Here is a 16,645-nt window from a genome sequence, read left to right as displayed (position 1 = left end):
TATGAGAGGGATAGAGGGGGCGAGAGCCACATCATCATTCCCAAAGATATGGCTTTAACCTCTGCCCCCTCCTGCCCTCCAGCTCTGGGAGACCCCGGCAAGCCAAGAACCTTCTCCAAAAGGGAGGGGAGGGGGGTGCGGGTAGGGGGAGGGCCTCTGCCAGGCGCCATCATCTCTCCTCCACCACACAGCTGACAGACACTTGAGAACTTTCCTTCCCAAGCCCGTATCCTGCTGGTTCAGGGCAAAGTGTTCAGCTTTCCCACCAGGATCAGTGAGGAAGTGGCCTGGTTTGGACTCAAACAGACTGATTTGTTTTCTCAACAAGGCCTCCGCTCAGTTCAGGGAGCCCCAGTGATGCCCATTTTTCCAGGGTGCCTCTCCCACCCTCCTCCCTCTCCCCGCTCTGAGAACACATCACCTAGTGTCTGTAAGGCTTCTGCTTCTTGTTTGACATCCCTTATTTACAAAGCAAACAGAATGTTCCTTTTAACACACATCATGCTCAGTTTATTAATGCAGAAAACAATCCCAGGGGGCCGACCCAGGGGACCCTTGAAACCTGCCAGCACAAACTCTTCAAACGCTCAGCCCGTCAGATCCTCCAGGACAATATTTCACACAATGGAGTAAAAATAATATTTTTCTTTGGACCTTTCCAGCCGCTTTTGTGGCGAGCAGACAGAAATTATTTTCTTACTCTGCTCCCAGAGCAGAAATCTGGACGAAGCTGCGTTTATTTGTTTAACACAATGATTTCATCCTAAATGTCTCGACAGCAAATAGTTGGTGGTTTAATAAAGGGCCTTTGAAAGGAGGCTGGAGCTGGGGAAATGTGAGGCATGCAGCTCGCAGGGGCCAAGCAGATCGCGGGCTGCTGAGACTGGGTGCCCCCTCCGCCTGCCTGGGAGCCCTGGGGATCGTTGCATGTTATTGCTCCCTGATCAGAACAATTTGTGCCGCTTCCATCCTGGAAAAGGAAGGAGACTGACCTTTTGTTCACGAATCCCGGAACTTCCCCAAGACCAGCCCTGCCAAATACAGACAGACATAACCCAAAAGCAGATACTTGAACCTGCGTGAAGAAAATAGGCCTTTTGTACTTATGTCTGCCTTCCCATGATTAAAAATTATGTCCTGTGTCAGCCAAATGTTGGCTGCTATTCTGGTGCCAGCCCAGAGTTCTGCAGCCAGGGCAGTGATTAGGAGAAGGGAGAGGGATCAGAGCCAGCTCAGGCCTGATTCCCCAGCGAGCAGAACCTACCCAACCAGGGCCAAAGCCCCCAAGCTTTCCAACCTGCAGTTAGAGGTGTCAACAAAAACTCAAAAAACTCATTTGCATTTCACTTCTTTTCCTTGGGAAGAATTGTAAGGGGCAGTGAAACGGAACAAGCAGAACACAGAGGAAAAGAACCAAGAGAAGGTCATGAGTGGCGTAACAATTGCCCAGGCGGCCCCGATTGCAGCTCCATCATTTTACAGCACAGGAGGGAGGCCCAGAGAGGGGCAGTGATATGTCTGAGAGCACAGAGCTATTAGAAGAAGAGCCATTGCTGGAACCAGGCATCTAACCTCCAGGGTTGAAGGGGAAAGGGCCTAATCTAGCCTTACAGCTGACAAAACGAAAAAGCTGAATTATGGGTCTCATTTTTTCCAACTGGGACTTGGTTCAAGGTGATTGGATGTGATTCAGTTCTTGGTGATTTTGGTTCTTGGAATAATTGATTCAGATCTAAATCAGTTCCTGGCTAGAACAGTGAAGAACAGAATATGTTTACACACACACACACAGAGTTATATTTCCAATTATTCACTTATTCATTGAAGAGTGTATAAAAATGCATATATATTTAAAAGACAATTAAAATGACTTATAATAATATATTTCTGGTAACTTATTGATAGATCTCTGCTCAGTCTTTTCTCATTGCTTCTATATGTTTTTATTATATATATATATTTACAAAATTAAGATCTCAACTGCTTTATTTTTAAAATTACATAATTTGTGCTTAATCACTTTCCATATCATTAACAGACTTTCTGAAGTGTGACCTTTGAAATGCTACTTGGCATTTCATCATATGATGTGACTGTCATAATTCTTTTCCCCGTTACCCTAAAGTTGGTCATAGGACAGAATGTCTTTGAGTAAGTCTTGAAGAACAGTCCCTGAAAGACTGATGGGCTGGGTGGGAGGTGGCCTTCAAATTCTTGCAGCAATTTAAATCTCTTTCCTCCACCTCTGAGTGGCTTCAGATTGCTTTCAAATGTAGCTGCCTACCTCACTCCCAGCTCTCTTTTATCTTTTTCATTTCTTCTTTTTTCTACTTTTTTCCTAGACCCAAAACAGACAGATTCCTTACATTTGCATATTTTATAACCTCAAAAAGTTTTTATAGAAATGCACTCATTTAATCTTCATAAAAACCCTACAGCATGGGCAAGGCAGAATGATCCCAGTTTTATATAAAGGAAAAATGAAGCAGGCAAAAAATAAAGGAAAAAAGAATTATCTCAATTTTATATTCAATGAATGTATTTTGAGTGCCAACTATTTGCACTTTGGTAGTCACTTAAGGGAGGGCATAAGTAAGTCCATCCTTATCTCAAGGAATTTTCAGTCTAGTGGGGGCACTTTTAAGGGATTCAGTAGATGACGGCTGTTATTATTTTTGGCTGAAATGACTCGCCTTCTGTCAGGTGATTAGTAAGTGGCTCAGGAAAATGAACCAGTACATCCTCTGCTTTCTGTACTCTACTCCCTACACTATGTGACTGTTAGTCAAGGGTAGGTCCAGAATAGGGGGGATGGTCAGGGTAGGTGGATGATGGGGAACCTTTAGAATTCCCTCTTCTTCTTCATCTCAAGCTCCAGTGAAAAGACTTCACACTTGAGACGCTAAATTCTCCTGAGAGGAGTCAGTCCATGGATTAATGCTTTCTTTGTGCTGGAGGTAGAGATGACAGTATTTATCTTTTGATGAACAAATGGTTGTTTGGGATTTAGCTACTTCTACATCTGTGAAAGGATAAAAAACGAGAAAGGAAATAAAAATTATTAATCATCTCCCATGTACCTGTCTCTGTAGTAGGTGCTTTACATGCATTATTTCATTTAAATTGGAACTCACAAGAAGCCTGTTTTATTCATCATTGTATTACTTTGGACCTAGTGGAATGTTTGCCGCATAATAAGCATTGAATAAATGCTGAACTAATGAATGAATTCTCATTTCACAGATAAGAAAATTGAGGTCTGAGAACTTAGGCAACCAGTACCAGGTTACATAGCTAGTAAGTACTGGAATTGGGATTCAAACCCAGTCTGCCTGGCTCTAGAATTGTGCTTTTCCCACTGCTGCACCCTTGGTAAACTGTGTACATGCTTCAGGCTTTGGATGGACTGTTCAGTTATTATGGATGTGGTGAAAATCCAATTCATCGTGCACGGACTACCTTTGGGTCCATTGTTTCCTCTTTCTACAGTCCTGGCATTTTGCTATGAAGACAGCATTTACTGTTGTGTTTTTGCTGGTTGGCTGTCCTCCTCTAAGCACTGGACACATCTTCCTTATATCATCACTTGCACTGGGGCTCTGGATCCTTTAGAGTGGAGAGTATGTTGTTTTCAGCACTGCAAGAGATATTTTTACATTCTTTTCGGAAATGTGAAGAACTCTGGGCTGAGCACAGTGGCTCACACTTGTAATCCCAGCACTTTGGGAGGCTGAGGTGGGCAGATCACTTGAGGTCAGAAGTTCGAGACCAGCCTGGCCAACACGATAAAATTCGTCTCTACTAAAAATGCAAAAATTAGCTGGGCGTGGTGGCATGCACCTGTAGTCCAGCTACTCAGGAGGCTGAGGCAGGAGAATCGCTTGAACCTGGGAGGTGGAGTTTGCAGTGAGCTGAGATCACACCATTGCACTCCACCCTGGGCCACAGAGAGAGACTCTATCTAAAAAAAACAAAACAAAACAAAAACAAAAACAAAAAAAAAAAAGAAAAAGAAAAAAAGAAATGTGAAGAACTCTGGTCTCCCTTTTTAGAAGCTAAGGCAAAGAATAAAGTTAGGTTTTGCAGATGTTCCCTCAAGATGTGCTTCAGTTGCTTTACTAGAGACCCATTATGCAGGGAGAAGAGGGCAGCTAAAGGAGCCGCCTCTTTAAATCTTAGAATGTCAGTGTTCTCATTTGGCTTGACTTCTTAGTCCTTGCCAGGGAGCTAATTGTTAGATCTTGAAGGAAAATCTCTTGCTAGCAAGACTACCTGCTTAGTGCATATATCTTTAAGCCCATTGTATAGACCATTGCATAGATTCCTAAGGGGAATTTAAAATCCAGGTGCTTATGTTTCATGCATTTCCCAGGTCTAACATATAAGATTTGGAAAACACAGTTTTATGAAATAAAATCAGAGCCAAATACTCTGAGGCCGAACACCATTTAACATTATTCTTTCTGAATAGTGAGATTTTTGCTGATAATAAACACATTGACATAAGAAAACAAAGATCTCTGACGGGTTATAGGCACTCTCTGGGAATATCTAGTTGATACTGAAAGGCCATGTCAGGACTGTGTGGGAAAGAAAATTGAAGAGTGTCAAGGAGAGTTGCTTTCAGCTCTGGCAGAGAACACTTTGAGTTGCTTTTTTATTCCCTTACCCCTACCCTATCCCAAAACTCACGCCCATTGCTCAAGTACACAGTGTGCTTGGACCAAACCAACACCAGCAAAGTATTTTCTGGACTGCTCCAGTGTGATTTGTCTTCATCACCCAAGTGTGAGTCTCACCCAAGCAGTCTCTGGGTGTCTTTTGTAAAAGAGAGAGGGGTTTTCCAAAATAGAAGGTTTTGTTTTGCAATTTACAAAAAGTAACAGGATCCTTTCTGAAAAAGGATTCTGTTTTGAATCCCAGAACATAAACTGACACTCCCAATCTTCACTTTCACTTTAGAAAACTTAGACTGTATCTTGCGGGCTCATTATCTGTCAATTTCTAGCCTGAACCAAATCTAAGCCATTCCATGGGGAGATGCCCTAAGGAACATTTTTCTGCCCACTTTTTGAGACTTGCAGTGTGTATTCCTGACATGTACATATATAAATGATGTAATCGATTTGGGATACTGAGCAGATCATGCAGATGTAGTGCCTGGCTTAGAATAACTTACCTTCTGGTTCAAAGCAACCAGGTGACAGAGTTCTCCTAAAACCTCAAAGTTCTGCTAACATAATAAAGCCTTCTTTACTTATCATCAAATCACTTCAAGCTCAGGAATGACTTTTAATATCCTTTTTATGACACATCGTATCTATTACAGGTCAAAAGGAGTTCCCCAAACCAAACAGTAACATCGAGTGAAAACTTATATAAAGTCTTTCTCTATTAGAAAAGTTAGTTTTGGCTCCTGAACATCAGCTTTTATGGGTTCTTATAAAGTCATGGCTATTTCTTAGCAGTAGGATTTTCCAAGCCTTGCAATGAAATTCTTAGTTATACTTGTATTTAAAATGTGGAATGAGTAACTTTGTCTTCCAGGAAGATGTAGTTGACATACTTTTCGCTCGCTATTCCTGCCACTAAATACAACTAAAAACCCTGGATATTATATATGAAACTAGCAGAAGAAAACTCTAAAAGATGGAGAAACGTAGGCAGACCAGCTAGGGACATGATGACCTAAGGAATGACATGGAGATGAGTTCCCTGGATTTTCTTTTTGCCTCATGTATGCTAGATTTGGAGCTAAGGAAGCTAGCAACCCAGAAATGCCTGTGGGTGCAGACATTAAAAGCCCCAAGGAAGCTTGCTGTCTCTAGCCAAAGGACAAGGAAAGGTGCAGCTTGGCAAAACAGAAAACTTACATAATAAGTAATTCTATTCCAAGTAAACACCACAGAAAAACTGTGACCTTACCCTACATGCCAGCAAAGCCTAGACTCCCACCATCACAATGTTGTGATGAGGCAGCCTAAGCCTCTGCCATGATGGAATCAGAGAGAGTCACATAAGGAGCCAAGACTTTTATCTCCACCTCATTGATAATGAGATCCTCCCTATCCCTGTAATGTCAGTGGAAACCATATGAGGAGCCTAAGCTTTTACTGTCACTCAGCAGTAACAAGGCAACCCTCCTCTTCCCCATTGGGACAGTGTCAGAGAAGGTCTAGTGGAGAGTTAGGATTTTCACAATTGCATAATGATAACAAGGCCACCTTCACCTCAGTATCAGTGGAAACCACATGGGGACCCAGAATCCCCATCCCACCCAACAGAAACAAAGTCCTCCTGTCCCCACCCAGATATTGACTGAGGACAAGAGGGGAACCTGGGCTTCTACCTCTACCTATTAGTAACAAGGTGACACCACGTCCTTTTCCTTCTGGAGTGGTATAAAAATAAAAGCCAGCTAAAACAGAAGGTTAAAATAAGGCCCCCACAGTCTCATAATTCAGTACAAAAATGAGGTTTCAATTCAAAATCATTTGTCACACAAGAACCAGAAAGGTAGGCAAAGAGAGAGACAAAGAAAGACAAGCAATAGATGGTAACACTGAGATGACAAAGATGTTAAATTAATCTGACAATAATTTCAAAGTGGTCATGATAAAAATGCTCCAATAAGCAATTTAATAAAACCCTTGGAATAAATTAAAAACAGAAAATAAAAAGACCCAGCAAAGAAATGGAAGATCTAAAGAAAACCAAATGGGAATTTTAGAATGGAAAAAATACAATAACCAAAATAAAAGGCTCAGTTCATAGGCTTATCAATAGAATAGAGGACAGAGGAAAAAATCAGTGAACTGGAAAATAGAAAAATAGAGGTTGCTGACTCTGAACAACGGAGATAAAATAGACTGAAAAAAGAAAGAATACAGCCTCAGAGACTTGTGGGACCATAACAAAGAATCTAACATTCATGTCATCAGAATGCCAGAAGGAGAGGAATAAAAAGGGCTGAAAAAGTACTTGAAGAAATAACAACTGAAAACTTCCCAAATTTGACAGGAGAAATAAGTTTACAGGTTCAAGAGGCTGAGCAAACCTGAAAAGGGAAAACCCAAGGAAATCCATGCTAAGACACATAATAATTAAACTTCTGAAAGCTGAAGACACACAACAATATTGAAAAATGACACCTTACCTATAGTGGGAAAATAGTGTCAGTGGATGTCTCATGAGAAACCATCAAGGCTAGAATGAAATGGCATAATTTTCAAGTGCTGAAAAGAAAGAACTGCCAACCCAGAATCTTATAACCAGTGAAAATATCCTTCAGGAATGAAGGAGAATTCCAGACATTCTCAGATGAAGAAAAACTAAGAGAATTTGTCACCAGTAGACCTACCCTAAAAGAATGACTAAAGGAAGTTCTCTAAACACAAAGCAAAAATAAAAGAAGGAACCTTAGAACATAGGAAGGAATAGAAAACATGATAAGTAAGCATATGGGTAAATACAATAGTCTTTCTTTCTCTCGTAAGTTTTTTGAATTATGTTTGGTAGTTGGAGCAAAAATTACAACATTGTCTAATATGGTTCTAAATTATGTAGCAGGAATATTTGAGATAATTCCATTATAAATAGGGAGGGTAAGGGGACATAAAGCAAGGCAAAGTGTCTTAGTCTGTTTGTGCTGCTATAACAGAATGCCACAGACTAGGCAATTTATAATAAATAGAAATGTATTTGCTTTTAGTTCTGGAAGTCAAGAAGTCAAATATCAAGGTGCCAGCATCTGACGAGGGCCTTCTTGCTGCATCATAACATGGCAGAAAGCATCACATGGTGCAAGGGCAAAGAGAGAGACAAAGAAAGTGAAAAAGGTAGGCAAAGAGAGAGACAAATAAAGTACCACACTTGTGATAATGAACCCACTCCCATGATAATGATATTAGTCCATTCCTGTGACAATGGCATGGATAACACCTCTTTAAAGTCCCATCTCTTAATACTGTTACAGTGGCAATTAGATTTCAACATGAGTTTTGGAGGGGAGAAACATTAAAACCCTAAGAAATTTTGAAAATTAAGTAAAAAAAAAAAAAAGGCAAAACCAGGATTCAAAAAAAACCCCAAAAACTTCACAACCCATAGCATAAGGTTTCTATAATAATAAACCAGTAAAATGATGACACAAGTAGACAGTGATATACTATGTATATATGATATACTATCTATAGCAACCGCTAATAAACTTATACAAAGAGATATGCTCAAAAACATTATAGATTAATCAAAGTGGAATTCTATAAAAGGTTTCTGCAATCTATAGGAAGGATGGAAAAAGTAAGCAAAAGCAAAAGCACAAACAGAAAACAAAAATAAAACAGTAGAGTTGAGTCCAAACACGAAAAATAATTATATTAAATGTAAATGGTTCAAATAAACCAATTAAAGGATAAAGATTGACAGAGTAGATTTAAAAATCTTGACCCAGCTACATTCTGTCTATAAGAAATTCATTTCAAATATTATAATATAGGCAGGCTGAAAATAAAAAGATGGAAAAAATATATCATGCAAATATTAAGCAAAGGAAAGCAGGAGTAACTATGTTAATTTCAGATAAAGTAGACTACAGAACAAAGAAAATTACCAGAGAGTGACATCATATGATGACAAAAGGGTCAATCCATGAATAAGACATAGAAATCTTAAATATATATGTTCCAAAAAACAGAGTTGCAAACTATATGACACAAACATTGATAGAAATGAAAGGAGAAATAGACAAATCCACAATATAGTTGGAGACTTCAACACTCTGTAACAATTGGTAGAACACTATACAGAAAATTAGCAAAAATACTCAGCACTTTGGGAGGCCGAGGTGGGAGGATCACGAAGTCAGGAGATCAAGACCTTCCTGGCTAACGTGGTGAAACCCCGTCTCTACTAAAAATACAAAAAATTAGCCAGGCGTGGTGGCAGGCACCTGTAGTCCCAGCTACTCGGGAGGCTGAGGCAAGAGAATGGTATGAACCTGGGAGGTGGAGCTTGCAGTGAGCCGAGATCACGCCACTGCACTCCAGTCTGGGCAACAGAGCGAGACTCCGTCTCAAAAAAAAAAAAAAAAAAAAAGAAAAAAAGAAAATTAGCAAAAATATAGAAGAACTAAACAATGCTATCAACCAACAAGCTCTAATTGACGTTCATAGAACAATCCACCCAACAACAGCAGAATACACATTCCTTTCAAGTGCCCACAGCACACATAGCAAGCTAGAGCATATTTGAGCCGTAAGACAAACCCCAACAACTTATATGAATTTAAGTCTTACAGAATGTGTTTTCCAACCACAAGGGAACCAAACTAGAAATCCATAACAGAAAGATAACAGGAAACCTTCAAATACTTGGGAAATAGACAACTAAATAAACTAAATAACCTATTGCTCAAAGAGGAAATCTTGAAAATAAAAAATGTGGAACTGAATGAACATTAAAATACATAGCAAAATCTGTGGGACACAGTAAAGCAATACTGAGAAGAAAATTTATAGCATTACATACATCCATAAAAAAGAGGATAACTAAAAAATAATCTAAGTTCCCACCTCAACAACCTAGAAAAAGAAAAACAAAATAAACCCAAAGTAAACAGAAGAGCAAAAATATTAAAGATAGAACAGAAATCAATGGAATTAGAAATATAAAAAATAAAGGAAATTGTTGAAACAAAGAGATGTGGTATTGAAAAGATCAATGAAATTGACAAAACTCTAACAAGATTCACAAAGAGAAAACCAAATTACCAATATTAAGGAAGCTTCACTCCAGATGAGGATATCACTATGGACCCTGTAGACATCAAAAGGAGAATAAGGGGATACCATGAACTATAGTACTTACATGCTAAAATGCAGAGTGATCTATGAAACATGAAGTTAACGAAACTTGGGCATCATTTTGCCCTTATAGAAAGAGCCTACACCTGAGTTGAAAACTTGGTATGCCATTAGCTGCGAGATTTGGGCACATTAATCATGACACTCTACCTCATAGGGTTGTCATGTATGTAAAGTAGATGACGTGCTCTTAATTCCTGGAAGAGGAAAGTGCTATCCCTTTGTTGACTGTGTTCAGCCCACTACCACATATGTTATTTTAGCTAAAGTTCACACAAATGTAGTGTGTTGGTTGTTTTTTGTTTGTTTGTTTGTTTTTTAACTTAGGATATATTTAGTCTACTAAGAGACCCTGGGGGTGTTGAGGGTTAGGATCTTCAGAAACAGCTCTCCACCAATGACATGTGGGGATTAGAAGGATAAGTACCCCAGCTTCCTTGCCCCTTAGTTGGCATACCTGGGGTATGTTCCACACACCCTCCCAGATGGAGTTCCGCAGTGTAAAGAACCTCCACTTGCTCTTTACTGGCTTCCTTCCTTTCACTGTTTCACTTCCCTATTCTCCTACCAGTGTTTCCTAGGAGCAATTTCCAAACAAACTCTTTGCTTGCAAGTCCTTGTCTCACAACTTCTGCAGGCATCCACACCAAGAGCAGTAGGAAATATTACTGTTCCATTTTGCAGATGAAGAAACTGTGGCATTGACAGACTGCTTACTTGATGATGGTTAGTTAGAAAAAGTTAGTAGGAGTTAGTAAGTGGCAGAGCCAGGCTCCTAAGCCCATGCTTTTAACCACCACATTATAATGACATAATACTTCTGAGTACTATGTGCCAGGCACCATGCAAGGTTTTTAATACAATTTATTTTATAGATCATAAAACATGCTCATATAAGTTACATGACTTGTCCTAGGTCATAAGGTACTAAGTGGCAAAGCAAGAATTTAAACTCAGATTTGAGGCCTTCGCCATTCTGCTAGAGATAGATGGCTCCCTAGTGGAAGAAAGCAGGATCCAGGGCTCTTAGTGGAAGGTCCAAGAGGACACAATTTATAGTCCCCCAAAAGGGCTGCATTCCATGTCCCAAGTCTTTGTGTTCCTTTTCTGGCATGTGGTTTGTGAATCTGTGAGTCAGCCTAGATCAGAGTCACCAGGCTATGTGACTCAAGAAATGCTTTCTAGTCCTTCCTTTCCTTTGCTCAGGTACATTTCTAGATGGTTTTATCTCTGAGGATAGACAGAGAAAGGGGTAAATGAGGTAGGGTTGCCAGCGATGACTAGGCATTTTCTCTGTGCTAGGGGCTTTGCTTAAGTTATATCATTTAATCCTCTTAGAAATTTCTTAATAGAAATGCCCTTTTTCTCCTTTTAAAGACCAAGAAATAAAGTTAAGAGAGGCTAAGATATTTGCCCACAGAGTTTACCTAAGTGTTAAGTATTCAAAACCCAAGTCTCTTGGACTCTAAAGCAATCCTTTTTCCACTGAGCCAATAGAGGATCTGATGAGGTAAGGAGAAGGTAGAAAGTTGCCAACAACTTCTAGGGCACTGCTTGTCTAGCACCTGCTGAGAAGTGCCAGGCAATCTCTGATTACAGTGCTTCTAGCATAATATCCCAGCTTTGTGCTCAAATCACAATCAATGCCCATTGTAGAGGCAAATCTGTCATTGGAGGGACAGATCCAGTAAATAAGTCTGTAAACAAAGATCATTACAATCTTACACACATTTCTCTTCACATTGATGAGCATTCTCCAGGTGTTGGGCTCTGTGCTGACCATTACAATATGGGGATTAGAGAACAACAAACTTGTTTCCTACTTAGGAGGATCCTAATACATAGTTTGGAAAAATGGACTACATGCAGATGAGGTTGCTAAATACATGCATGACACTTATATACAAGCTATAGCCTGTGAGGGGACCAGGAAATGACTGGGTTGGTTGGGGTGAATTCTGAGCCCTTTTCTATATACTTTTGACTAATCTGTCATGCCCAATTTGGGATCCCACAACTTGAAAAAATGGGAAAGGAGACAGAATAAATATATGATATGAATTGCTCCAAGACACTCAAATTGCAAGAAATGTCACATTTATATTTTACATAAAAATAAAGCTGGTACATCCACCCACTTTTGTAGGTATTAGGAATTCCAGGATCAGTCACTGGGGTCTGCATCCCCCCTTATGTAAGGAACCTTGGATGTGCTGGGCACCAGGCCTCTGTTCTCATCTACCTGTCACTACTGTCCATTTGAAAGAAGGTGGGTCCCTTAGCATCTTCTTCCCTCTGTGCCAGGCTTGGTCTTGGAGGCTGTCATTCAGGGTCCTAGAGTCACGGGGGCAGGCATCCTGATTCTGCCACCTTGGAGTCCCTGTGTACGTGGGCTCAGTCCTCAGCTACTCCTGGAATGCTGTTTGCCCAGACCTTCCAAGACTTGGGGGACCATCTCTCCAAGGCTAAGGACAGCTCTCTAATCTTAACCTCAAGCTCATATCCCCTATCCATCAGCCAGCTTCCCTCCCTGGGCCTTTATCTTTGGAACCAAAGGCCTAACTATGGGATATCTCCCAGGCATTCTCTGAGCCCCCCTACACAAAACAAAACACAAAGGAGTTGTTTACCATCCTCCCCAACACACACACACGCACACACACACACACACACAGACCCCGTAAGCAACCAAGGCTAACACCTTTGGAAACTGAAAGGCTACCCGTCCTCCCTTTGGAAATTGAAAGGCTACTCTTTCTACCCTTTTGCAAACCAGTGTATGCTGGTGGTGAAGAGCACAGACTGCTTCAATTCATGTCTCAGCTCTGCCATTCATTAGCTGACTAACCTTAAGCAAATTGTTTGGCCTCTCTGTTTTCTGATGCATAAACTGGGGAATAGCTATATCACAGGATATTGAGTTAAGGCTGGTTAAGCATTTAGCGCGGTGTTTAACAAGCACCCATAGAGCAGAAGCACTAGGAGGACTCATTATGCCTCATCCCAGTTCCGCTCTGAATGTGGCAAAGCTCTCTCCTGAAGTTCAGGCAAAATGGAGGAAGGGTTTCTGAGCATTATGGAGGCATCTCAAGAAAAACCCATCTTTTGTGGGCTGACTTGTGTTCCCCACACCATTCATATGTTGAAGCCCTAACCCTCAGTCCTTGAGAATGTCACTGTATTTGAAGATCGGACCTTTAGAGAGGTGATGAAATTAAAATCAGGCTGTTAGGGTGGGTCTAACTCTATCTAATTGGTGTCCTTATAAGAAGGAGAGATTAGGACACAAAGAGACAGCAGGGGTACACGTGCACAGAAGGATGACGACCCTGTGGAGAGGCAGCAAGAGGGTGGCCATCTGGAAACCAAGAAGAGAGGCCTGGAACAGGTTTTTCTCACAGCCCTCTGAGGAAACCAACCCTGCCAACACTTTGATCTTGGACTTTCAGCCTCCTGAAATGTGAGAAAATAAATGTCTGTTGTTTAAGCCACCCAGTGTATGGTATTTTGTCATGGCAGCCCTAGCAAACCAACCATCCCAGAGATAAGGTACCATTAATGCTTCCCAAGTGCATCATTGCCCATCCTTGACCCTCACTTGGGAGGAGGGTTCCCACTGGCTTCAGTAATTGAGAATTTGTGACGCACAGCATAAGCCACCCTTCTGTTTTTAATCATTAGCATCTCACGGCACCAACAAGCTGGAAATGTTAGCACCAAAACATCAGACTTGGGATCAGAAACTCCTAGAAAGTACTCACATGAAGGATATAGTGCTATCTTCTGCAGGAGGCAAAAATGATACTTACGGAAATTGAATCAAAGGTTTGCATATTGATGAGGTGTGGACAACATGCAGATAACTCTTCCCCATCGCCACAATTTGTTTTGTTTTTCCATCACTTAAGCACTATAAGCCCAGTGTCTATGGCTTTTCAAGGGCCTACAAAATGTTTCAGAATGACAAATTAAATGGATTTCAAAATAAGAAAACAAAATGGTCAAAATGAAATAAAAAATAATTTCAAAAACAAAGTTATAAAACGCTTTTCAAAATGTTTTCAACATTTATAGTTAAAATCAGATGCTGGAGCATGTTAATACAATTGACATCATGTGGGTGGTGGTTGTAAAAGTTAGATGGCTTAGGACCTGAGAAGAACTTCAGCTGGTGCTGCTCTCTATTCATCCTCCAGAAACTCACACCAGTGAGTTTAGCAAGGAACAGTGACATGGGGCAGAGTCAGTGCTGCAGAATGGGGGTGGGGGAGAAATGGGGGCTCCCAGTGAAAGCAAATATGCCACAGAGGGAGGGGATTGAGTCCAGCTTAAACCTGGGTGCAAATCTAAATTCTGCTCCTGTGTGACCCTGGGCAACTTGCTTAATCTCTCTGAATTTTGTCACTGGCACAAAAGGGGATAAGAATGCCTACTTCATAGCATTTTCCTGAGGATTAAAGAGAGGAAGAATGTAAGGTGAAGGAGAGGGAGCTCTGTGCCTGGGAAATAGTAAGTGTTCAACAAATACTAGCTATTGTAATCATGGCATTAGGCAGACTCTCACAGGGGAGGGAGAGGAAGGGCTTTTGCTCACTGAGGCTTCTTTTGGAACTTGAGCCACATAGAAAATGTTGAGTGAGTAGATGTTGACTGGATGAGGTCTCCTTCAGGACAGAAAAAACTGTTGAGAAAAACAGCAGTGCAGAGGTTACGGGTACTGCTGGAACAGAATTCCCAAGTTAGGACTGGGAGGCCAGGAGGTGGGGCTGGGACTGGGGGACGCCAAGGACAAAGGATGGTTGGACTCTGGAGAACACCCTGCACCGAAATTACTGTGCACAGCCCAGAGGTGGACTGATGGGTTGCCCATCCTTGTGGGCTCATGCACCTCTCCTGCAGCTCCAGGGCAGGGGGAGCAGAAATTCCCAGGGGGCATCCTAGGAATGCAGGCTGCTTTAGAGTGATAGTTACAGTTTGCAGGTGACTGGGGACAGAGTATCTACTCTGCCAGGAACGGGCAGATACGGGGCAAAATCCCTGAGAGCTGCAGTCTTCTGACACATGCCAGTGTCCAAACCTATGTCCAGGACAAAATGAACACGGCTGTTTCTCTTTTTTAATTTTTAATTTTTGTGGGTACACAGTAGGTGTATATATTTATGGGGTGCATGAGATATTTTGATACAGGCTTGCAATGTGTAATAATCACATCAGGGTAAATGGGGTATCCATCACATCAAGCATTTATTATTTCTTTGTGTTACATACATTCCAATTACACTCTTTTACTTATTTAAAAATGTACAATAAGTTTTTGTTGACTGTAATCACCCTGTTATGCTATCAAATGCTAAATCTTATTCATTCTATGCCACTGTATTTTTGTACCCATTAACCATCTGCCCCTTCCACACCTCCCTACCCCCACCCCACTACCCTTCCCAGCCTCTGGTAACCATCATTCCACTCTCTATCTCCATGAGTTCAATTGTTTTAATGTTTAGCTCCCACAAATGAGTGAGAAAATGCAAAGTTTGTCTTTCCATGCCTGGCTTATTTCACTTAACAAACATAATGTCCTCCAGTTTCTTCCATGTTGCAGATGACAAGATCTTATTCTTTTTATGGCTGAATTGTGTGTATGTACCACATTTTCTTTATCATTCGTCTGTTGTGGACACTTAGGTTGCTTCCAAATCTTGGCTATTGTGCAATAAATATGGGAGTGCAGTGTCTCTTGATAAGCTTGTGGCAAGGGAAGCATCTGCAGGTCCCTTTGGTTTCAGCAGGGGTTGAAAAGTGTTAGAAAGGACAACGTGTTTCATGGAGTAGAAAGAGAAATATAGAGACGGTCTCTGATCAGCAATCATTCTATTAGGGTGGGAATTTTGGAAGCAGGGAGACTTTCTGATCGGTCTTCGAGGATGCTGGGCAGACCTTTGGCAAGTGGGCAAGCGAGCAGTATGGGACATTTCATGTTAGGGGTGGACATTTTTCTGTAGCTGGCCATTTCCTGAAATAAGTAGGGGTTGACAGAGTGCTTTTTCTTTTTCTGTCAAACTGTCATTATGGGGTGCAGGGTGGAGGGGCTGTCACAGCGTCAGTTTGTCAGCAGAGATCTAGACCAGAAGGTCCCCTGGCCAGGGAGCTGGAAGACTAGTGTTCTAGGCTCGGCTAGTCATCAACTGGATAGGTCCCTGGACCTGTTTATTGTCTGTACATTGAAGGTGCAGGACCACCCAAGAATGTCCAAATGCTGACCCTTGGGCCAAATCCAACCTGCAATTGTGTTTTCTTTGGGCTACAAATTATTATTAACATTTTTATTTGCATATCTTTAGGAAGGGTGCGCACTCTCCGACCTACAGTCCCTCTGCTCAATACCAGCCCAGTTCCCGCCTTTAGGGAACCTGCTCTGTCCCTGTAGCCATCTGGGTCTGCAGCCTGGGAACTAGATGACATTAGTGCCTTCCTGGCACTGGCCTTCTGTGGTCCCGCCATTCTCAATGGCACTGTCTCACTTTCCATGCCTTCCTCAGTCACTGCACACTGCCCTACACAAATATTTGACAGGCCAGCCTCTTGAGTCAATTATTCCTTTCAGAAAACTGGAGAGAGAAATGATATAATTAACCACCTGAGAGAAAATGAACAGAGCGAGAAGCTATAAATACCAAGACCCACAATGAAGGGCGGAACCCCGGGGCCCCACTTGACCTTACCCAGCTGAGATGGTCTGACACCTTCCTGGGTGTAGGAGACCCGTGGGGCCAAGCTTGGCT

The 16,645-nt window shown here is 41.5% G+C and overlaps 1 long non-coding RNA gene across 1 annotated transcript; it reads right to left on the bottom strand.

Annotated features, from left to right (window-relative positions):
- Window positions 1-487: 487 nt before the first annotated feature.
- Window positions 488-1,347, bottom strand: LINC02230 (long intergenic non-protein coding RNA 2230). Its single transcript, NR_146627.1, has 2 exons — window positions 1,298-1,347; window positions 488-970 (listed from the first exon to the last, which is right to left on the bottom strand). It is a non-coding gene; the product is annotated as a long intergenic non-protein coding RNA 2230 (long non-coding RNA).

This window comes from Homo sapiens, chromosome 5 (genome assembly GCF_000001405.40).
Source record: "Homo sapiens chromosome 5, GRCh38.p14 Primary Assembly".
NCBI lineage: Eukaryota > Metazoa > Chordata > Mammalia > Primates > Hominidae > Homo > Homo sapiens.
The sequence above is the reverse complement of the archived record's forward strand: the minus strand, read 5'-3'. Positions and strand labels throughout refer to the sequence as shown.